This window comes from Homo sapiens, chromosome 1, assembly GCF_000001405.40.
Source record: "Homo sapiens chromosome 1, GRCh38.p14 Primary Assembly".
NCBI lineage: Eukaryota > Metazoa > Chordata > Mammalia > Primates > Hominidae > Homo > Homo sapiens.
The window spans coordinates 118,052,726-118,077,132 of NC_000001.11; the positions used below are offsets into that span (position 1 = coordinate 118,052,726).

The following is a 24,407-nucleotide window of genomic DNA, read 5'->3' on the forward strand; positions in this document are numbered from 1 at the left end:
CCTTAATAACAATGCTTGTTAATGACAATACAAAAGTCTGTAGACCAATTTCATTCACCATGGATATAAAAATTCCAAATAAAATGCTATCAAATCAAACCCAGTTTTTTATGGAAATAATAATATGCCATGAACATATAGTACTGTAATTTTTATCTATTATGTACATAAAGATGTTCCCAGGAGATTATTAAAATTAAAATTACTAGGTTCTACTCTCAAAGATGCAGTTAGGATGGAGTAAAGGAATGTGAATTTTACTAAGACCCTCCTCCCACCAGACACCCTTAGGAGATTATGATATATGTAGTTATGTAGGATGAGAACTGAACTTAAGGAAACAATGGATGAGTTTTTTATAGAAATGCAAATGCAACTTGTGTTGTTAAATCAATCTCTATAATTCAATATATCAACAGAAGAGGAAAACTAACAAATGTTAGTCTCAAAACAAATAGTTTAAAAATTAATAAAGTTTGGCAGCAATTAACAATAAAGTTGATGGTATGGCATGTAATTTTCTTTACTATTAATATCCAGAAACCGGAGGCTTACCAAAATTAATCAACTTTGTTTAAATGTTTATTGCATGCTCATGGGGGTTGGGAAGTTGGCTCTTGCTTACCTAATATTAAAGCTTACAACAAAGCTATCATAATTAAAATATCATGGTACATGCATAGGAATAATTAAGTAGGTGACTGAAACAGAACACAACATTCAAAATTGAATTCAAGGAATAAATGGGTGCCTAATATGTGATCTAATCAACACCCAAATTCAGTGGGGAGAATTAATGTTATATTTAATTTAAAAGTACTAGTAAAATAGCCTATCTGGACAAAGAAAAAGTAATACATTTACATTATACTATATAAAAATACATTTCAGATAGATATCTGAATATAAAAAATAAATCTATAAAAATATTCTAAGAGAATGCATAAAAATATATATGTATATCTCAAAGTGGAATCAACCCGGTAGAATCAATAACATAAAAGCCCTGAAACCATAATGGGAAAAAAATGACAGCGTTTTTAAAAACCTTTTAAAAATAAGCTATAACATATACACAAAAACGCACAAATAGCACAAATCAAACACTCCTGTAAATATCAGCAGGTCAAAAAGAGATGGTCTCCAGCTTCCAGGAAGCCATCTTCATGCTTCTTCCCAATCACTATCCACTCCCACTGCCCCAAAGTCAACCACTATCCTGTTGTGTAATACTTTAGTTTTGCCTGTTTTTTAAACTTTATGTAAGCTGGATTACCTTGAGAGAGCCTTCTAAAATGAAAGGAATCTTTTCCTTCTCTTTTTCTTTTTCTTGATCTGATATCTCTGTTTTGCTGATTCCTTTGTTACCTATAATCAGATAAAATTAAACTTCTTAGTAACTCTTAAATAAGATATCATAGAAGGCCCAAATCTCTGGGTTAGATGAGATCTCAAAGGCTTTCAAGTTCAACTTCTCATTTATTTATCTCTGGTTTTTTTCTTGCCATCTCTAGAATGAACATCTGAAATGGGACTGAGCCACATCAGTGATGGGGAACTCAAGTTTCTGGGGACAGTGCATTCCATTCTCAGTGTGTTGATATGTTGCAGCTTTTATTGAACTGTAGTCTCTCTCTCTCTCTCTAAAGCTTTCACCTAATAATCCTAGTTTACCACTTTAAGACTACACAGAACAAATCTAACATTTCCATCCATATTGAAGCCCTTCTTTTGCCATTGTAGTCATTCTGTTTTGAAGACTTATACTTTTCCGTACTTGAGAGACCTGAAATTGAATGCAATATCTATCAGGTGCATCCAATCCCAAATTAACCATTATCTAGATTTTCACAGGTTTTTGGTCTTTTCAGTAGAATTATAAAGAAAAGGCAGTAAACTCACATTTTTTTCTTACTAATAGGGAGGTGTGGCCCTAGACATGAGTGTTAGAGGGCAGCCCTACCCATTTTTTTAAAAAATATAGTCCTATCTATTTATTTTTCTTTTCTTTTTTTGGGGGGTACTTAATGCTCTCCTTCTGGGTCCCCATCAGGACCCAGAATTGATAGATTATACAACCATTTTGGTCAATATGGTAAAAGTTTCATCATTAACTTGCTTTTATATGGTTTACTTTAAAATCATGCCATGTACAAACTCCTTTGGTAATTGATAGAGGTTGCCAAAATTTTGGAAATTATGTAGCGTTGCTTCTTTATGAGAAATCCCTCTCACTTTGGCTATAATAAATGAATATTATTAACAAGGAGTCCATTTCCTTTGCACAAACTTAATGAAACATGATTATTTTCTAGATGAATTATCTCAACGTTTCACTTCTTTTCTTTATCAAGTATCTTTCTAAAAGTCTATTTTACTCTCTTTGTCACCATCTTCCCCTTCTGCCCACAGCCTCAAGGCCACAATAACACAACATCACCACCACCACAACATCATCAACAACAAAGGTATATATATTGATCCAATATCCTGTCAAGTCCCTGCCAGAGGCCTCCAAAAATCTCTTTCCCCATTATCTTTAGATTCCTACACCCAGTTAGTCTTGGGACCCTTCTGTTTGCTGTTCTAAGAAATATCTTGTTTTAGTCTCAATTTTGGAATCTATAATTATTCAAATAGATATCTACTAACTCTGAATTTACCTCTTATATTGTCAACAAATCTTAGATAGCTTAATTTACCAATCCTACCAATAAAGGCATTTGGCATTTCTCTAACATGTAACATTTGATCTGCACAACAGATGGAATCTTCCAGATTTGACAAGAAGTGGGGGGTCAATATAAAAAATACTCTATTATTGCACTCAGGTACAATCCCATATTTGGAATGCAGCTACTCTATTTACTAGAGAAAGTGAAGAGTCACAGGAACTTTTTTGGGTAATTCTTTTTAATATTGAAAATATTCACAGTCTTGATTAAATTAAGAGAGAGAAGAACGTTCTTGAATTTTATTCTACGTATAAGTTGAACTGGTTACTTACTTTTAGATTCTTTAATGGAAAAAATTTTGCTAGCAGAAGTAAGTTTGGCATTAGCAGAAGATTTCAATTCCAGCTCAGCTCTGGTCCTGATGATTTTCTCATTCATTTTAGATTCCTGATATATAGCTTCTTCTTTTGTAATCCAATCTTGAATAGATTTTGCAACAAGTTCCAAATAATTCCTAAACAAACCAATAGCAGACGTCAATTGAGTTACTATGAAAGTCAATAAATACTAAGGATATTGACTGTGCAAATAAACTTTTTGCTCATGTCAAAAATATAATGAGTTTGAATACATCCTAGATGTATTTTGTACAAAATAGTCAAATACAAATATCCAGTGAACATATGAAAACTGCCCTTCATCAACAGTTAAAGACATGTAAATTTAAAAATGAGATCTTTCATCTGACTCACTAGGCTTTGGGTTTAAGAAATAAAAAAAGAAATAAGATCTTTCCACTGAAGTGAAGGATTAATAAGTTTAATAATACCAAGAGTTAATGACAGTTTGAAGAGATGATCACTTTCACCACTGTTAGTTGGAGAATAATACAATGCAATCTCTTTTTTGGGCAATTTTATAGCACATTAGGAACTTTTAAAATTGAGACCAATTAATACTCACTGGATTAACTAAACCACTATAGCTTTGCTATGAAACTCACTGACCTTATGAATATGAACATCTTAAATACTATTCTCTAACTGCTTGTGCATTTATGCTTTCATTGGCAATTTGTTGCTTACCAGCAGTCATATTTGTTCCCAAATTCATTCACATCACTTATACTGACTAGTGTAATTATTTAAATTAAATATTATATACACTTATATGAACGTCCAAAGAGAGTTGTTTCTGAGGACATTAGTTATAAGATTTAAATTTGACAATAAAAATTGGTTATTGTCAAATTATGTGAAAGTGCAGCTTAAGGTTTTGAAAAAATAAAGCTAGATGGCTTATATACTCAGGTTGTTTAATAGTTTTCTTTAATTCTTCATCCTTTTTGGAGAAATAAACCATAAATGTAAACTATGAATTATGGGGGTACCCAACATCTTCATTTAGAAGGTAATGGATATCTCAAACTCAACATGTCCCCAAATGAACTCTGGATCTACTCCAACCTGCAGCATCCAAATTCTCTGGCATTTTTAGTTGATGGCAAGTCTACAGTTCCAGTTAAACAGGTCAAATACCCTGATGTTCTCCTTGATTACTCTTATTTTCTATTTTCTTTCTTTTTTTTTTTTGAGACTGAGTCTCGCTCTGTCACCCAGGCCAGAGTGCAGTGGCGCTACCACTTGGTTCACTGCAACCTCCGCCTCCCGGGTTCAAGCAATTCTCCTGATTCAGCCTCCCGAGTAGCTGGGATTACAGGTGCCTGCCACCATGCCCGGCTTCTTATTTTCTTATATTCTTCCAATCTGTCAGGAAATCTAAATTATTTTGTAAATTATTTAAAAATAATTTTAAAAGACATGTATTTATAATATATTCAAAATCTGCTGACTTCTCACCACCTTTACTGTTATTGGCCTGGTCTAAGCCATTACCATCTCTTGCTAGGATTTCTGCAATAGCCTCCAACTGGTTTCCCTGCTCCTACCCTGGGCCCCCAAAGTATATTCTCAACATAGCAATGAGGGTGATCCTTGTAACTCTTAATCAGATCATGTCTTTCCTCTGCTCAGACCTTTTTAATGAGTCTGCATGTCAAATAAAAATCAGAATACTTACAAGTAACCTACACCAAGGAAATATAGACTTACATATACAGCTCAATCAGTCTTCAAATGAGAGAACAAAATAAATATTAAATATGCAATGATTCAGAAAGCTTATCACACATAGGTACTTTCTGAACTATTTACTCACAAATGTATTCCAGTTGCATTAAAAAAATAAATCAGAGAAATAAGACAACATTGGATATAAGTTAAAAGGTCAAGAAAAAAAGCAGTATGATTTACAATTAAATGTAACTATGCTACTTATTTGTGATTAAAAACTATTACTTTACAATGAGAAACAATAGTTCTAGACAACTTCAAAATGAGAAGTAGGGATTTGTTGGGGGTAAATGGAATTATGTTAAATTAAAATTTTTTTTTTGTAAAATAATATTAATACTCATTAACTCCAGATATAAGATAAAAATATTTCAATGTTATTTAAAAGGGTAAGTATAACCTCTAGCAGAATATGAATAGAATGTATAACTTTTTAAAAATCACACACTCAGAATAAACTTAGAATATTCAGTCTAATGAAAGAAAATAGATTAATACTACATAGAAATTTATTTATAAAATTAAATGGTAAGAATAAAACCACATGCATTTTCAATAAAAGTAAGTGAATGGATTAAATTCTTTAGCATTTAAAATACTTAACTTTATTTTTAATTATTATGAAAATCCTTTAAAAGACATAGGCTATCAGAGTAACTAAAAAAATGCAAGCTGCTATTTATTTATTTATTTTTGACAAGGTCTTGCTCTGTAACCCAGGCTGGAGTGCAGGGGTACAATCATGTCTCACAGGTGCCTCAAACTCCTGGGCTTGAGCAATTCTCCCAGCTCAGACTCCCAAGTAGCTGGGATCACAGGTGCACACCACCAGACCCAGCTAATTTTTGTATTTTTTGTAGAGACAGGTTTTGCCATGTTGCCCAGGCTGGTTTGAAACTCCTGTTCTCAAGCGAGCCTCCTGCCTTGGCTTCCCAAAATGCTGGGAATATAGGCATGAGCCACTGGGCTGGCCTCAAAGTGCTATTTAAAAGAGATGTACATACAAACGAAATTATGCAGAAAGATAGAAGTGTGGCAGATGGCAGACTAAGAAGCCAGAAGCCTAGGTCTTTGATGACTTTTACAAGTGGTTGTATTAGCTCTGAGGCACTGCCCAAGTCCAGATTTCTTGCTACAGGAGAAAAGTAATCCTCTTCTTAGTTTAACCCCAGTAATCAACTCTACACTAACCTAGTGAAATACAATACCTACCTGACATATAAAATGATTGGGAAAGTTATACCAATAAATTCTTATATAAAGAAAGACCATCTAAAAATATTAATATCAAACATTATTAAATACAAGGTAGAAAGTATTAAAGGGAACAGAGGGACATTTTATCAGATTGATAAAAATCCTCAATTAAGAAGGATTCAAAAATAAATTTGCACACACATGCTACACATGTCAAAATAATAGAAAGGGGAGTAGATAAATCCATAATCATAAAAAGATATGAACACATCCTTCTCATAAACAGACATTAATCTTGAGAATACTCTGTTTAATTTTATGCCAATAGACTGGAAAATCTAGATGTCATGCATGATTCCCTAGAAAAGCAGAAATTACTCAAATTGATTGAAGAATTAACAAATCTAAATAGAGGATTACTTTTAGAAGAATTGAAAAAGTTACAGACAATTGATCCTTGATCTCTTCATATTACCATTTCTCTCCTTGGTCATATCATCTAGCCCCTAGGAAGCCATAAGCTCAAAATGAGTTTCCCTGTGAAGTAATGTGAAGGAATTATATTTAAATCTCTAACCAATTTTGAGTTGATTTTTGTGTATACTTTAAGACAGTAATCCATTTTTTGAATTTTAATTTATTTTTAAATAAATAAAAATTGTAAATATTTATCATGTACAACATGTGGTTTTGAAATATGTACACACTGTGGAATGGCTAAATTGAATTGATTAACATACATACTATCTTGCATACTTATCATTTTTTGTGGGGTAAGAACACTTAAAATTAGGAATCCAATCCTAGTGCTATTGTATTACTGTTTACTCCTCCTTTAGTTCTGTTAATATTTGCTTTATATTACTTTGCTGTTCAATGTTGTGTACATACATATTTACAATTGGTCTATCTCCTTGGAGAACTGACCTTGTCATTATATAATGATGTAGTCATTATATGTCTTTCTTTACCTTTTGTAACAATTTTTGACTTAAAGCCTATTTCATATGATATAAGTGTAGACAACCTTGATCTCTTTTAGTTATTATTTGCATGGAATATCTTTTTCTCTCTCCTCACTTTCACCTTATTTGTGCCCTTAAATCTAAAGTGAGTCTCTTGCAGGCAGAGTATAGTTGGATATGGTTTTATTATCCGTTAGTCCACTCTGAATTAGAGAATTTAATCCATTTAAAGTAATTATTAATAAACTATTGCCATTTATTTCATTGTTTCCTCTTTTACCCTCATTCTGTAATATAGCATATTACATTTATTGATTTGTATATATTGAACCATTCTTGCATTCCAGTTATAAATTCCACTTGATTATGTTGAATAATTTTCAATTTTGTTTTATGGTTCTTTTGTTTCTTTCCTACTCTTTTGCTGTCTTCCTTTTTGACTGGCTGATTTTTTTGCAGTGTTATTGTTTCATTCCTTTCTCTTTATCTTTCATGTGTTTATTATAGATTTTTGCTTTGTGGTTACATAAAACATCTTACATGCATAACAGTCCATTTTAAGCTGATAAAACTTGCCTTTGATTTTACACAAAACACATATTTGTAGAAGTTTTTTTTTTCTTTTTCCATTTTTTAGAGATGTGGTCTTGATATCTTACCCAGGCTGGACTCCAAATCCTAGGCTCAAATGATACTCCAGCCTAAGACTCCCATGTAGCTGCAGCTCTTCCTTCCCAACATTTTACGTTATTGACATCACTATTTACATATTTTTGTAATGCATATCCATTAATGAATCATCACAACTAGTTATTTTAATACATTTGTCTTTTAACTTTTATGCTAGTGTTAAATGTGATTTATGAAACACCATTACAGTATTAGAGTATCCTGAATTTGACTGTATACTTGCCTTTGCCTGTAAGTTTTATGCTTTTATAAGTTTTCACATTGCTATTTAGTGTTTTTCATTTCAACTTGACAACTCCCTTTGAGTATTTATTGAAGGGCAGGTCTGGTGGTGATGAACTCCCTCAGCTTTTGTTTGGGAAAGACTATCTCTCCTTCATTTCTGAAGGCTACATTTGCTGGGTACAGTATTCTCAATTGTGTTATAAATGTGTTCCTTTGGTCACATTTATATTTCCTGAATTCGTCATGTTCCTTGAAGTTTTCTGTTGCTGTCTTTGCAATTTAAGAAGCAGTTCCCTCCTCCAGTCTTTACTGGCTAGATTTGGTATATAAAAAGGTGTTCAACACTAATCATCGAGGACTTGCAGATCAAAATGACAATTAGATATCATTTCACTTATACTGGGATGGTTATTATAAACAAAACAAAATAAAACAAAAGATACCAAGCATTGGAAAGGATGTGGAGAAACTGGAACCCTTATATATGGTTGGTAGGAATGTAGAAAGGTGCAGCCACTATGGAAAATACCATAGAAGTTTCTCAAAAATTAGAAATAGAACAACCATATGATCCAGCAATCCCTCTTTTGAGTATATATGCAAAAAAAATTGAAATCAGCATCTTCAAGAATTATCTGGACCCCCATCTTCATTGCAATGTTTTCCACAGTAGCCAAGATAAAAAAACAACCTAAGTATCTGATGATAGATTTTAAATATGTGGTATATATGATAGAATAGCATTCAGCCTTAAAAAGGAAGGAAATCCTGCCATTTGTGACATGTATAAACCTAGAGGATATTATGCTGAGTTAAATAAGCCAGTCACTGAATGACAAATACCGGCTGATTCCACTTATACAGGTTATCTAAAACAGTCAAATTCATAGAAGCAGAGAAGAGAATGGTGGTTTACAGTGGCTGGTATGGGTGTATGGAATTGTTTTTCAACTATCATTAATAATATGGTATTGTGCACTTGAAGATATGTTAAAAGAAGGGATCACGTGTTCAATGTTTTTAAAAAACCACAATGCAAATGGACATGAGGACATTTTTTTAACATAATGGGTATGTTTAGTACCTTGGTTGTGGTGATGGTATATGTTCATGCATATGTTCAACCTCTCAAGATGTGTAAATTAAATGTATACAATTTTATGTATATCAATTATACCTCAATAAAGCTAAAAAATACTTATCACGATTTCTAAAGAATGAATCAAACAACATAGCATATAACTGTCACTAGTGAGAATAAACAAAATGGAACTCGAACAAAGTAAAGAAACTGAAAAAGAGAAAATAAAAGGACAAAATTAGGTGGTTGAAATCAATCTAAAAATATGTACTAAATTCTCAACCAAGAGGAAAATACTGTCAGACTAAATTTTTTAAAAAATCCCAGGTACACATATTATTTTACAAGGCATATATGGGTGGAAAAGGATATGCTAGATATAATATTAAAGAAAAGGCCGGGTGCGGTGGCTCATGCCTGTAATCCCAGCACTTTGGGAGGCCGAGGCGGGCGGATCACGAGGTCAGGAGATCGAGACCATCCCGGCTAAAAACGGTGAAATCCCGTCTCTACTAAAAATCAAAAAATTAGCCGGGCGTAGTGGCGGGCGCCTGTAGTCCCAGCTACTTGGGAGGCTGAGGCAGGAGAATGGCACGAACCCGGGAGGCGGAGCTTGCAGTGAGCCGAGATCCCGCCACTGCACTCCAGCCTGGGCGACAGAGCGAGACTCCATCTCAAAAAAAAAAAAAAAAAAAAATTAAAGAAAAAGGTTTGTATAACTTATCAATGTCAGATAAAATATATCTCATAAAATCTATATAGATACATTAATGTCAAACATATCAACATTGTTATCAGACAAAATAAACCTGAAAACAAATAGTAGTCCTAGAAATAAAGAGGAACATGCCTAAGGATAAAAGGTTCATCAGGAAGATATAACAATTCTAATACTGTATTTGTTTAATAATATAACCTCCATATGCATGAAGCCAAAAGCTGATATAATTATAATGAAAAACTGAAAAATTCACCATAATATTGTGGTTTTTTTAAAAATGTTTTTTCCCATTAATTAATGGAATTTTTGACCAAGTCCTCAAAAATCCAAAAGATTGTGGAAGATTTAAAAAATACATCACTACGGTCAGAAATTAGAGAACATTCCTTCCTGTCATACAAACCTTGAGCATTTAAAAAACTGACTACATATTAAACAACAGAGCAAGTATTAATGAATTCATAGCCTCAGTAGTCCATAGAATATGTTACATCTCCACTATATCTTTAAACTATAAACTGTTAACAAAAATGTAACACATAGCCAAGTGTTTAAAATGAAAACTCACATTTCTGTGTAATTAATGGGTCAAGTAAGAAAGGATAATGGAAATTAGAAATGTGAAGGACCTCTTCAAGGAGAACTACAAACCAGTGCTCAATGAAATAAAAGAGGATACAAACAAATGGAAGAACATTCCATGCTCATGGATACGAAGAATCAGTATCGTGAAAATGGCCATACTGCCCAAGGTAATTTATAGATTCAATGCCATCCCCATCAAGCTACCAATGACTTTCTTCACAGAATTGGAAAAAACTACTTTAAAGTTCATATGGAACCAAAAAAGAGCCCGCATCACCAAGTCAATCTTCAGCCAAAAGAACATAGCTGGAGACATCACGCTACCTGACTTCAAACTATACTACAAGGCTACAGTAACCAAAACAGCATGGTACTGGTACCAAAACAGAGATATAGATCAATGGAACAGAACAGAGCCCTCAGAAATAATGCCGCCTATCTACAACCATCTGATCTTTGACAAACCTGACAAAAACAAAAAATGGGGAAAAGATTCCCTATTTAATAAATGGTGCTGGGAAAACTGGCTAGCCATATGTAGAAAGCTGAAACTGGATCCCTTCCTTACACCTGATACAAAAATTAAGTCAAGATGGATTAAAGACTTAAATGTTAGACCTAAAACCATAAAAACCCTAGAAGAAAACCTAGGCAATACCATTCAGGACATAGGCATGGGCAAGGACTTCACGTCTAAAACACCAAAAGCAATGGCAACAAAAGCCGAAATTGACAAATGGGATCTCATTAAACTAAAGAGCTTCTGCACAGCAAAAGAAACTACCATCAGAGTGAACAGGCAACCTACAAAATGGGAGAAAATTTTTGCAATCTACTCATCTGACAAAGGGCTAATATCCAGAATCTACAATGAATTAAAACGAATTTACAAGAAAAAAACAAACAACCCCATCAAAAAGTGGGCGAAGGATATGAACAGACACTTCTCAAAAGAAGACATTTATGCAGCCAAAAAACACATGAAAAAATACTCATCATCACTGGTCATCAGAGAAATGCAAATCAAAACCACAATGAGATACCATCTCACACCAGTTAGAATGGCCATCATTAAAAAGTCAGGAAACAACAGGTGCTGGAGAGGATGTGGAGAAATAGGAACACTTTTACACTGTTGCTGGAACTGTAAACTAGTTCAACCATTGTGGAAGTCAGTGTGGCGATTCCTCAGGGATCTAGAACTAGAAATACCATTTGACCCAGCCATCCCATTATTGAGTATATACACAAAGGATTATAAATCATGCTGCCATAAAGACACATGCACACGTATGTTTATTGCGGCACTATTCACAATAGCAAAGACTTGGAACCAACCCAAATGTCCAACAACGATAGACTGGATTAAGAAAATGTGGCACATATACACCATGGAATACTATGCAGCCATAAAAAATGAAGAGTTCATGTCCTTTGTAGGGACATGGATGAAACTGGAAACCATCATTCTCAGCAAACTATCACAAGGACAAAGAACCAAACACCGCATGTTCTCACTCATAGGTCGGAATTGAACAATGAGAACACATGGACACAGGAAGGGGAACATCACACTTTGGGGCCTGTTGTGGGGTGGGGGGAGGGGGGAGGGATAGCATTAGGAGATATACCTAATGCTAAATGACGAGTTAATGGGTGCAGCACACCAACATGGCACATGTATACATATGTAACAAACCTGCACATTGTGCCCATGTACCCTAAAACTTAAAGTATAATAATAATAAAATTAAAAATAAAATAAAATAAAATAAAAAAAGAAAGATAATAAAAATACTATCAGTCAGATACTTTGAGGTGTTGCTAAGGCGGTATTTAGGGAGGGATTTGGCCTTAAATGCTAATAAGGAAAAAGCCAACAAAAACTAACAAAAAACAACTCAAAATCACAAGATAGGATTTTAATTTAAGAAGTTAAAGAACATCAGAATAATCCAAGGAAATTAAAGAGGAGAAATAAACAAGATGCTGGCAAAATTAAATGAGATAAAAGGAGAAAGAGTTAGAAAGCAAGAACAGATTTCTTAAAAATATTAGTAAGACTGGCAAACCTTTGGCAAGTTTGATCCAGAAAAATATAGAGAAATCACAGATTAAAAATGTTAAGAACGAAAAAGAATATAGACACACGTAACACAGGTTTAAAAGGTAAAAGAATATTTTAATGAACTTTATGTCAATACTTTTGAAAACAGGTGTAATGGTCAAATATCTGGAAAAATATAAATTATAAACCTAATTAAAATTAAGTAGAAAACATGAAGAGTCTAATAACCATGATAGAAGTCGTGTCAGTAATCAAACATCTTCCCTGGGCCGTATGTTTTTATCTGCAAGCTCTACCAAATGCCAAAGGAACATATACCTTAATTTTCCACAAACTATTTCAGAAAATGAAAAAATAAAAATAAAAAGGGAGAACATTCTCCAGTTAATTTATGAGGTTAACATAATCTCAATACTAAAACCAAATAGGAATATTTAAAGCAAGGAAAAATTATAGCTGAATCTTGCCCATGAATACACATGTAACTATTCTAAACAATACATTAGCAAAGCAAATGTGGCAATTATAAAGAAGATAACATAATGGACAAATCTGGCTTACTACAGGAACGCAAGTTTGGTTCAACACTAGAATATCTGTTAATGAAATTAGCACTTTCATAGATTAAAGAAAAAAATATAAACACCTAAATTGATCCAGAAAAATCATTTAATTGATATGACTTAATGACCATTGAGAACTCATAGCAAACTAGAAATAGTTTTTTTAACTTAATAAGGAATATTTACATAAATCCTAGAGCAAAAAAAAAAATTTAATTGTTGAATATTCGAAACATTGCCTTTAAAATCTGGAATAAGACAAGGATTTCTCCTCAAAATTAAATTGGAGATCCTAGCCAAGACATAAGGCAAAGGGATAAAATGCGTAATTATTGTTAACGAAAAACAAAACAAAGACAAACACAGCTTAACTGTTCAAGGTGTTATATTAGTATATCTACCAAATTCCTTCATTTTAAAGTCATTTTATGACTTTAAAATGTGTGTGTGCCCACATACAGTATATTCCCCCAATTATTATGTAAGTCCATTCTGTAAATCTTTCTGTATTCTTTAAAACTAAAAAAAATGCTATACAAATAATACTGAAAATACATTAACCAGTATTGAAATAACAGTGAAATATCATCATACTTAATGAGAAGAGAGAACAAAGTTCTAAGAGAAAAAGGGAATAACTAAGGAGCTGGAAAGAAAAAATCACTAACCCCTAGGCTCTCAGTTTGCTGGAAACCTGACTGCTCTGTTGGTATATTACTCAGCTGACCTATTTTTGAATGTTCCCCAGATAAAATAGAGTTAAAAAAACCCAACATGCAGAATGTCATGTTTTATAGTTCCTACTTGAAATCTTTTGGAGACAGTTTTACTGGAATCTAAATGAATCAAATGTAATTTAACAACATCCTCACTAGATTCCACGAGGGCAAGAATGACACCTGTTTTCTTTAGTGGTATAGCTCCAATGCCCATACAGTGCCCAGCACATGCTGACATTCAATTTAGTGAGCTGAATTGAATCTATAGTACTACACAAATGTTTTCATTGAGCTGAACCCCCTAGCTTAGGGTAAGGAACTAACACCTAAGTAACTAAGTAACTGGCAAGCTAACTAAACCCAACTAACTAATTAACTAAACTTTCCAAATTTGTTACCTGAATCCAACATTGGAGTGGAGAGCAATGTTCCAATATTCACAATGCAAACGTTGTCTATTCATTGGATTGTGAAAGACTAAAAGTAAAGAGTTGTCTTGGGTGTGGTAGTAAGAATCAACACACCTATATTGCTTATGGGCTTCTTGAAGGACCTGAAAATCAAAATAATTGCATTGTAGAATCTTTTTTATTTTCCCCAAGAGAAGGGTCTCCTACTAGGGCATTTCTCTACTCCCTTTTTTTCCTACATTCACCTCTACATTGTTAGTCAAGTTGAAATTCCCAGAGGTTTCTTTCCTAGCTGCTAGAAGGTGAGAGCATAAATGGTAGCTAGCTTGGGAAGCATTTCAGCAACACTTTAGAAAAACAAATACTAGGCATCAGGCAGAGCGGCGCTTGCTACAAGTGTTCTTCATTAAGGTTGGTAGGTAATAATTAAGCACAGCAGTCATTTATCTAGCATTTTCCATGCCTTGATATAGACCATCTAATTTTATCATCATTTAAAACTCCACATAAATAGATGCTATGAATTAAATTGTGTTCACCATCCCTATTTATATGTTGAAGCCTTAACTGCTAGTGTGATGGTATTTGGAGATGGGGCTTTGGGAAAGTAATTAGGTTTGATGGGGTCATGAGACTAGGGCCGTCAAGATAAGATTAGTGCCGTTATAAGAAGAGGCAGCAGATAACCTGCTCTCCCTCCCTCTTTCCCTTCTCCATCCCCACTCCCTCTTACTCTCTCTGCCATGTGAGGACACAACGCAAAGGCACAAGCCAGGAAGGGAGTCCTCAACAAAACTCAACCATGCCAGCACCCAGACATCAGACTTGCAGCTTCCAGAACTGTGAGAAAATTTCTGTTGTTTACGCTACTCAGGCATGGCATTTTGGCATGGCAGCCCAAGCGGACTAAATCAGTAGGTATGATTATTTTTCCCATATCAAAATATTAGAATTCTCATTTTTTCAGCATAAATTGAGGCTGAGAGAGTAAGGGACTTGTCCAAGAACACTGTGTGTTATGGTGCCAGGGCTCATCCCTGTTTTCCAACTCTAAATTTTACCATTTTGCATTCTCTCCACTATACCATGCTGTGTTAGATGAAGTGAAGTGAGTGGTCTTTCTGACACATACCGTTTCTACCTGCCTTCCAACTCTGGCCCTTTCTAAAACATACCATCCTCAGCATGCACTGCGGTGGTAGCTACCAGTAGAGAGACACAGTGGGCAGCTGCTTATCCTGTTTCCTTTGCCAATCAACAATAAGGAAATTGTCAATAGGAAAAATAAATTAGACAGCTGTGGGCTTTCGTTTTTGTTTTCAATATCAATTTGCTGAGGCAGCTTTTGGTTTTCTATTGTTTGCATATCTGAAGGCATGGAGTGATATATATATAATATATATATATATAACATAATAATGTTAGAAAAGGGCTGCTTTAATTTTGCTTTCAATTCTACATTGGTAGCATAATCAAAACAATACATTTGCTTCCCCAATTTAGTCCCCTGAATGAGTGTCTTTATGGAGTGGCACTTTTACATCTGTTTCCTCAGAGCCAACATAAGAAACATACATGTGGTGAATATCTTTGCATTTTAAAATATTGTTATGTAGGGTATCATCTAGTACTTACTGATGTTTTTTTGAAAAGCAAATTCTGCTCACACTATAAACCCAGAAAACCATTGCGTTTATGATGAATATATATCCTTTCTTTTAGATAATAAGAGCTTTGAAATCTTTGGGTTTTCATATTGCTTTGGGGGTGCTAAAAATACAGCACTAAGTTTCACAGAACTATAGCTGCTCTCAATCAATATGTAAAGTTTTCATATCTTATTTTCCCCTTTTTTACTAATTGGTGCTTGTCTTTTATTCTGTATTAATATTATTGGTTACGTTAGTTATTTAGTTAAGTTTTTCATTAAAAATGAGTACCTATTGTGTGGCAGGCACTGTGCAGGTACTAGGAAAACAAAAATAAACAAAATAGATAAGATTTTCCTCTAAAATATGATAAAGATTTTTTTGTTGTTGTTAATTAGAGACGGGACCTTGCTATGTTGCCCAGGCTGGCCCCTAAAGCTTAGCCTCAAGCTATCCTCCTCTCTCAGCCTCCTGAATAGTTGGGACTACAGACCTGTGGCTTTATAGATTATTTTGGAGTTGAAGGAGGTGTGTCCGAAAAGATGAAATTAATGGAATATCTGATATATAGAGAATGGATTAGAGCAGGGCAAGAGTGGAAGCAGGTAATCAGGAGGATATTGTGGTGGAATTAGAGGGTGGTAGTCATATAAAAGTAGGCCGGGTGTGGTGGCTCACGCCTGTAATCCCAGCACTTTGAGAGTCCAAGGTGGGTGGATCATGAGGTCAGGAGATTGAGACCATCCTCACCAACATGGTGAAACCCTGTCTCTACTAAAAATACAAAAAATCAGCCAGATATGGTGGCACGTGCCTATAGTCCCAGCTACTCAGGAGGCTGAGGCAGGATAATTGCTTCAACCCAGGAGGCGGAGGTTGCAGTGAGCCGAGAGCATGCCACTGCACTCCAGCCTAAGCGACAGAGTGAGACTCCGTCTCAAAAAAAAAAAAAAGTGGTGGTAGCTGTGGTGCAGAAGAGCTTGAAGATATATTTGGAGGTATACCCCTTAAACACTGATGATGGATTAGGTATCAGGGATAAAGGAGAGGTTGGAACAAAGGATGATTCTGGCTTTTTGCTTGAGCACTTGAATGATGGTGACCTTTTCTGAGATGGACAAGGGAAGAAATGCTTAGGTGGGAAAAATATGAGTGTCATATAGGATACTAAATTTGAGATGGATACTAAATTTGATCAGAAATTCAGGTAGAATTTTGAGTAAGGTATAATAATGTGAATCTCTAGAGAGAGATAATTTAAAAGATATGGGCATCAGCATTAGATAGTATATAACAGATGAGATCATCAAAGAAGGGTGTTTACAGAGGCAAGAAGATGCTCTAGGGCTTCCTGGAGGCTCCAGAGCCTTGAGGCACTTCCATATTAGATGCTGGGTAAAGGAGGAAAAGTCAACAAAATTCCAAATACAACACTGAGGAAACCAAGAGTGCAGAGTGTTTCATGGGGGAAGGGATAAGCTCTGCAATGCTGTTAAAATGTCAGGGAAGATGAAGAAAGATAAGTGTCCATTAGATTTGGCAAGACAAAGATTATTGATTACCTTGAAAAGTGCAGCTTCATGGAGCAGTAAGGACTGAGAAAAACTGAAATAGTATAAAGTCTGAAGTAAACTTTCAGTTACAGAGAAAAGATTGAACATTTGCACTCTCTAACGCCTCATTAAAAGAACAGTAACATTTTGTTTGTTTTTTTAATATCATAAAATTGAAAGCCAACTTCAACTTGTTGAAGGAGAGGAGATAAAGGCACCGGAATTTTAGAAGCTGGAAAGCAGAAGGATAAATGCTAAATGACTTAGCAGAATACAGAAAGCCAAGTCCTAAGATTAATTTTAGGAGAGACCACAGGCAACCCCATTTGTGTGCAGAAATATAGAAAGTCTCAGGATATGGAAATACTAGTCACCTCTGCAAGTGGGGTGAAAGTGGCACTGAAAATAGGAAGATTAGTTTAAAATCTTTTTAAGAAGCAGTTAGGCCCCTGGATTCCATTAAAATTCTGAGCAACTGGGCTATTGCCTATCTCCCACTCTAGCAGAGGGGAAGAGGGTAACTACAGATGGTAGATGAATGGGTTCTAAGAACAGTGGACCCAACGCACACTGACAGAGAAGTACATTCTAGAAAAAAAGGGAATTGTGTAAAAGCCTAAATCAGCACTGCTCAATAGAAATATAAAGTGAGCCACAAATGTGAGCCACATGTGCAATTCTAAATTTTATAGTAGCCACATTTTAAAAAGTAAAAAGAAACAAGTAAAATAAATGTTAATGATATATTATATTTAACCTGATAGATAAAAATTCTTATCATTTCAACATATAAACAATGTAAAAGTAATCAATGCCACCTTTTTAAAGTCTTGGAAATTGAGTGTGTAATAGCACTTATATAGTGTATAGCACAGTTATTGCACATCTCAATTTGGTCTAGATTCATTTCAAGTATTCAGAAGTTACATGTGACTAGTGGCTACCACACTGGATAATGCAGATCTAGATAATAAATGTCAGAAGCTTAATACCCTTCCCTCATTACCTAGCTCTCAAAACACTGACAGGAAGGCTTATGTCTTTCAGACAGAAAATTAGACTTTTTTTTTTTCATGGAGAATTTAAATGGCCCAAGAAAACAGAACTGACATACCAACAATGGTGAGTCTCCTATGGAAATCTCCCAGTCAAATCACCCAACAATGAACTCAGTTATTGACAACCCCCCACCCCACCTCATATAGCACTTCCTATCATATTTTTATTGTTTCATTATTAATATGAGCAAAGAGGACAATATTATATATTACCCTCCAATGTGAAAAATGAAGACGAAACAAAAAAGACAAAAAATGAGAAAAGAAACTTGGAGGAAAAAGAGATAATTCATGGAGAAGACAACTTCAGAGGACTTTAATATCCTCATAGAGATAAGAGAAGGTATTATATCAGAAATGCAGTGGCTCACACCTGTAATGCCGGCACTTTGGGAGGCCAAGGCGGGTGGATCACCTGAGGTCAGGAGGTCAAGACCAGCCTGGCCAACATGGTGAAACCCCATCTCTACTATAAATACAAACATCAGCCAGGTGTGGTGGCAAGTGCCTGTAATCCCAGCTACTTGGGAGGTTGAGGCAGGAGAATCACTTGAACCTGGAAGGCAGAGGTTGCAGTGAGCCAAGATCATGCCACTCCAGGCTGGGCGACACAGCGAGACATCATCTCAAAAAAAAGAAAAAGTGAAATGATTCTTTAAAAAGGTAATTTGAAATTATAAATATAACTTTAGGAAATCAGAATGATAATAACAGGAATAAAGGGCTCAATATAAGAAATGAATGGAAATTGAGCAAAGCCAAAAGATAAATTGATGGAAACTAAAAGAAAAAAGAAAGGGAAATTGCAGGTTCAGTCTAGCAGGTCCAACACCAGAGTAATAAGATTTCCAGAAAAAAAAGGACAGAGAAAATGGAGAGGAGAGATTATCAAAGAAATGATTATAGAAAATTTCCCAAAATATAAATACAGGAATTTCTGGATTGCACCGGCTTGCCAGAACAATACATAGAAACAGAACCACACAAAGGCATATCAACAGGAAATCAAGAGCATTGGAACAAAGAGAAGATCTTAAAATCTTCCAGGGAGAGGATCACAACATACTCAAACAACTGATTAGGAATCAGAATTGTATTTATTTATTTTTCTAAGGACAATCTGGGAAGTCAGAACACTGTCAAAAACTGTCTTTAAAGTATTGAGAAAAAATGCTTTTTAATTTAGCATTTACTATAAAGCCCAACTGTCAGTCAATATAAAGATAGAATTAAGCTGTTTTCAAATATTGAATGCCTCAAAAATTTACTTCCCGTCTATCTTAATTAAGGAAGCTACTGGAAGAGATGATTCTCTACAAAAAAGAGAGTAACCGGAGAGGGAACACATGGGATGAAGGCAACAGGTATCTAACTGGAAAGGAAGGGAATGGGTGTGGCCCGGATGACGGTAAAGGGAGGCCCAGGACCACAGCTGTGCAGCAAGCTTAGGGAATATGGGAGAGATATCACTAATACAATAAAACTAATAGAATATCTGTTATGTTTGAATGTATTGAGTGACTTACTCAGTAGTAGAGAATTTGGGGATAAGTTAATAATAAATACATAGTAAACTAAACAAATAGAAAAAGAGGCAATTATTAACTGCAGAGAAAATAAAAATGGTACCCATACAGGAAATGTAATTATAGAATACCACACAGTTCAGCTGTGAATAGCACTTACATAACTGAAATAAAGTGAGTTCTGAATACTTATCTAACCAAAAATTACGATATTGTTAACAGTATCAGAGAATGGAGAAGTGCTAATGTGAATGTGGGGGTGGGTGAGCCTGTACCTGTACATGCACATGTGTGTTGGATGGGGGTGGGCAAAGCTGTGTTCTCAAGAGCGAATCAATTGGTAATGATGTCACAAAACTAAAACTAAACAAAATATACTTGCTATTTAGAGATCACCGAGTAAAGTAACAAAAGAAAGGGGTAAATGCACTGAAGATTTTTGCCTCTGAGAACTGCGGCTTGGTGGAGTGGGGTGGGGATGGGGGAAGGAGGCTGCTATTTTTCATAGTAAGACTTTGTAGAACTTTCTGGCTTAAAAAACGTTGTAAAACTTTGATAAAAATAAAAATCAAATTAAAAAGACAAAACCAAAAGAGGACAAGTTTTTGTGTAAAAGCTAAACACAACAAAAGGATTTAGGTTTGGGATTACTTGTTATTTTGCTGAGTGGTTAAGAGTACAAGTTCCAGGGCCAGATTTCCTGGGTTTATATCTAGCTTCTCACTTAGCTGCCATGTTACCTTGGACAAAAGTCACTACTGGTCAAGGTGCCTCAGTTTCTTACTGCTTACATAGTTTCTACTTCACAGGGTTATTGTGAGGATTAAATGAGCTAATAATACATATTAATCAGTGCCTGGCACATGGTAAGTGCTCAATGAATGTTGGCTACCACAGATTCCATTGAACTGTTAATCAAAACAGAAAATACTGTGAAATGTGGTGAAATTGAGTAGAATGGATAAACAATATGGAAAAAAATAAGGTTTTTCCCAATAAAACCTTACTTTGTTTTTAGAAAATACATGCAGCAGCAAAAAAATATATATATGCAGCAGTCTTGTATATTTCTTTTTTTCTTAAAATATTTTATAAAAGCATTCTTTCATAAAGTATATTTTAAACTATTTTAGAGAGTCGCTGGGAATGCATAGCTCAAGCTGGGAGTAAATTTATTTTATAGCTGAAGTAAAGGAGACTATTGATCTGAACTAGATCTGAGAGAATGACCTGGAGGTGAACTGTTCTAAATCACAGCAGACTCTCCAGACCTATCTGACCGTCTCCTAGAGAATCACAGTCCATAAATACCTGAAGCAGTACTTTCGGTTTAAAATGTTCAGTAAAACTCCAGTCCATTAGACTGCGCTGCTGTGTTTTCTTTATGTCCTCTAAATCTGCTTCCACCATCATCTTCTTGGGTTTCTAAAATATCATAGGAACACAATTTCAGCTTTAATTTGTTTAAGTCCAAATGGAGCCCTCTTGGGCTCCGTCAACTAACCAGTATGTACTCCATCTAATTGGGGAAATCTGCATATGTATAAATCCATATGGCAACATTTTAGGAGAGCTGCTGCCAAAAAGAGTATGCCTTTGACTTTTTTTTTTATGGGCAACATAATCTAAATATTTTTATTGTTAGGTTATACTCTTCTGAGTCCTGTTAGCAATTACAGGCAGGTTTTCTGAACTCTCTTCAAGACAACGTTAGCTCTACAGGGCTGTATGGTGAGCAGGTGTTTGTGAGGTTGCCAAGCCACACTGTCTAGAGAGGAGCAAGGAGCTGGGAAGTTATGCGCAAGCCGCCTAGCAATATTAACTCCTTTCTGTCCAGTTGGAGCTGCTCTGGGGATGTCCGAATAGTTCCTCTTTTCTAGCCTCAGTATTCTCCTTCTAAGTATCTTCTTTTTTCTTTTTCAGTGTTTCTTACTCCAAGTCATGGTTTTTCTCAGATCATCTTGTCATCTACATTTTCAGAAAAATAATTCCTTACCTTTTCATGAGAATCAGCCTTTGTGACTGCATCATCTTTGATCTCATTGTTTGTGGTCTGCTCTGCAAATCAAAGACACCAACATCCAGTTGTGTTCTGGCTTTGTTCTTGCCCTGCTGGTTAATGCTGTGCTTTTTTGTTGCCCATATGATCTATGTTTCTGTGCTGAAAAGGCAATGCCTGAAAGGCATGTTTTGTGCCTCCAGAAAGGTGTTTGTGTCCATAATTCTAAATCTGTGCCTACCTAGAAAAATTATACTAAGCTCTTTGAAAAGAACCTAGCTTCTTGTGTGATATATCTTAAATCATACCAGATATTCTGCTTTCAGACTGTATCATTCACTTCTAACAATATACCTTTATCTTTAAAAGTTGTAATTATTTACTGATTAAATCAACTTCTTAGTACACATGATTTGTCTTCTTGTGCTGGTGACTATCACAAAGCCTTTTTAAATTTCTGTGGATCTTATCTTGTGGATGACAGACTAGGGTGGGGGCAGGCCATGCGTGCAAAGAGGCACTGGCAGATAAGTGCACTTCCTATTGGAAAATGATACGCTTTCACCATTCTGCAGAGCTTCCCTTCCATTCATTAATCATTTATTAACTTAAAAATTATTTAATGAGCATCTGCTAATTTACAAATGAAGCTTAACAAAAGTTAAATAAATAAATGAAGCGGTACCTGGACTCCATGGACCAATACGAGTCATGCACACTATGGACCAATATGAGTCATGCACACTAGCTTTCCTAGTAATGACAGAGTATACTTATATGATGATTGGGATGGTGATATCATCCTTGGCTATGAAGCAAACAGCCATGTGAATGAACAGGGAAGGAACACATTCATATTGTTGATTTCTGCATCACCAGAAGAAAGAGTTCCATGATAAATAAGTTTAACATAGATCAACGAACATCTCACTATGAATGTCTTAGAATTTGTAATTTGCTCTTGTTATTGTGAATCTCTAATTGAGAAATGGATAATGTATATAGCATTTTGCAAATTTGATCACAGAAATAGAGTATGTGTGTGTGGGAGGTGGATTTTGTGGGAATATACTTTGATGCTGCTGAACAACTGAACAGCCCTGACTTCTTATCACTCTTAGAATAAATGAAGATTATGTCTGACAAAGTTGTACAGGAAATGGCTCTGGCCTAACTCTTTAAGCACAACTCTTTGACTCTCCCTTGCTCATTCTACTCCAGATACACTGGCCTGCTTGCTGTGTCTTGAGGGTCTTGCACTTTCTTTCTCTCTGGTATGCTTTGCCCTTAGCTGTTCACCTTTTTCAGACCCTGACTTCATTCATATTGGTCGAGTATCACCTTCTCAAGAGTCTTCTGCCTCATCCTCTGCTTTGTTTGTTTTTTTTATCATAGCATGTATCTATGCCTAATGCTACTTACTTGTTTATGGTCTGTCTCTCCACCTCATATGTAAATTCCTGGAGAATAGAAACTTCATCTTATTATTATTATTATTTTTAACTGTACTCTGAGCACCCAGCATCTGGCAGGAACTCAGTAAATATTTCCTTTTGATTGAATGAGAAGAATCTACATCATATATTAAACGTGGAAATTAACCTAGAGCCATATAGAGAAATTAGAAATGTGGGAAAAAACCTACAACAAAGCCTTATTCTGTGGCAAGCATAAGACAACTTTTTATTCTGTGGCAAAGAGTACCATATTTGGGCTTCTAGAGGGAGAAGCTGATTGTGCCTATGAAGGACAGGCCAGTGTTTTTCTTTCTTTCAGGAGCACAGCTACTTACATTTTTGCTACTAGTTCCATCTTGCCTTGGGCTGGTGAAGGTGACAGCATGAACGTTCCATTTTGATTTAGGGGAAAACCATACAGCCAATTCAGTTCAGCATTTATATAAATACATCCACTGAAGAGAAAACTCAGGCCAACTATAACTCTAAATAGACCATGATGTCTCATGTGTCCTTGAAGCAATTGATATGAAATCTGTGGATAAAAATTATTCTATTCTGTGGTCTGCCAGATTTCCGGGAGATTTGATATTCCCTCCTATGTTTAAGGATCCAGCAGAAAAAGTCTCCAGTTTAGAAAATATGTTCTAAAAATTATGCATCAGTTATTTTGTCAAAGGAAAGAACATTCTAAAAGTAATCTGAATTATTTATTTAATAGTAGAGTAAAAATCATTTTTTTTTCTTTTTCTGATTTTTGCTTTCAACCACATAATCCTTTGACAGTGTGATTCAGTAGTTTTTGACACATCTGGAAATGGATGCTTTCTCATCCCTTTGAAAAACAGCTTTCCTAATCTGTTTTACTTTAGAGATAACAAGATCCCTCTGCAAAGCAGTTACTTTATTAAAAAAACACCCAACAAGCATAAAGGGCACATCTAAACCTCGCGGTTATCAACTCTCAGGTTTTTCATAAATATCCACTAGGCCCTGTCAAGTTCAAAAATAGTCTCAGATGGAAATCCAGTATTTGGTTAAGAAAAGCACAAATATTCAGCCCTTTATGTCCAGGAAAAGGCTTTTATATGTATTTGATGCTAAAATGGTTGTGCAGGAAATACATGAATGATT

The 24,407-nt window shown here is 35.1% G+C and overlaps 1 protein-coding gene across 14 annotated transcripts in view; it reads right to left on the bottom strand.

The window, feature by feature from the left end:
• Positions 1–24,407, bottom strand: part of SPAG17 (sperm associated antigen 17) — a 231,639-nt gene that overhangs the window by 99,136 nt on the left and 108,096 nt on the right. For 10 of the 14 annotated variants that reach the window (XR_946574.2, XM_006710427.4, XM_006710426.4 and 7 more), the window contains 5 exons: positions 21,814–21,875; positions 21,129–21,242; positions 14,020–14,174; positions 3,008–3,189; positions 1,277–1,368 (listed from right to left, as the gene is read on the bottom strand). Coding sequence is in view for 13 of the 14 variants with exons in the window: in XM_006710427.4 (XP_006710490.1) it covers positions 1,277–1,368; positions 3,008–3,189; positions 14,020–14,174; positions 21,129–21,242; positions 21,814–21,875 (605 nt within the window). In the remaining variant the exon portion in view is untranslated. Of the gene's footprint in view, positions 1–1,276; positions 1,369–3,007; positions 3,190–14,019; positions 14,175–21,128; positions 21,243–21,813; positions 21,876–22,501; positions 22,684–23,238; positions 23,277–23,608; positions 23,773–24,407 lie in introns of those variants that run through there. The other 4 variants (XM_011540939.3, XM_006710428.4, XM_011540942.3 and 1 more) reach the window with 4 other exon arrangements.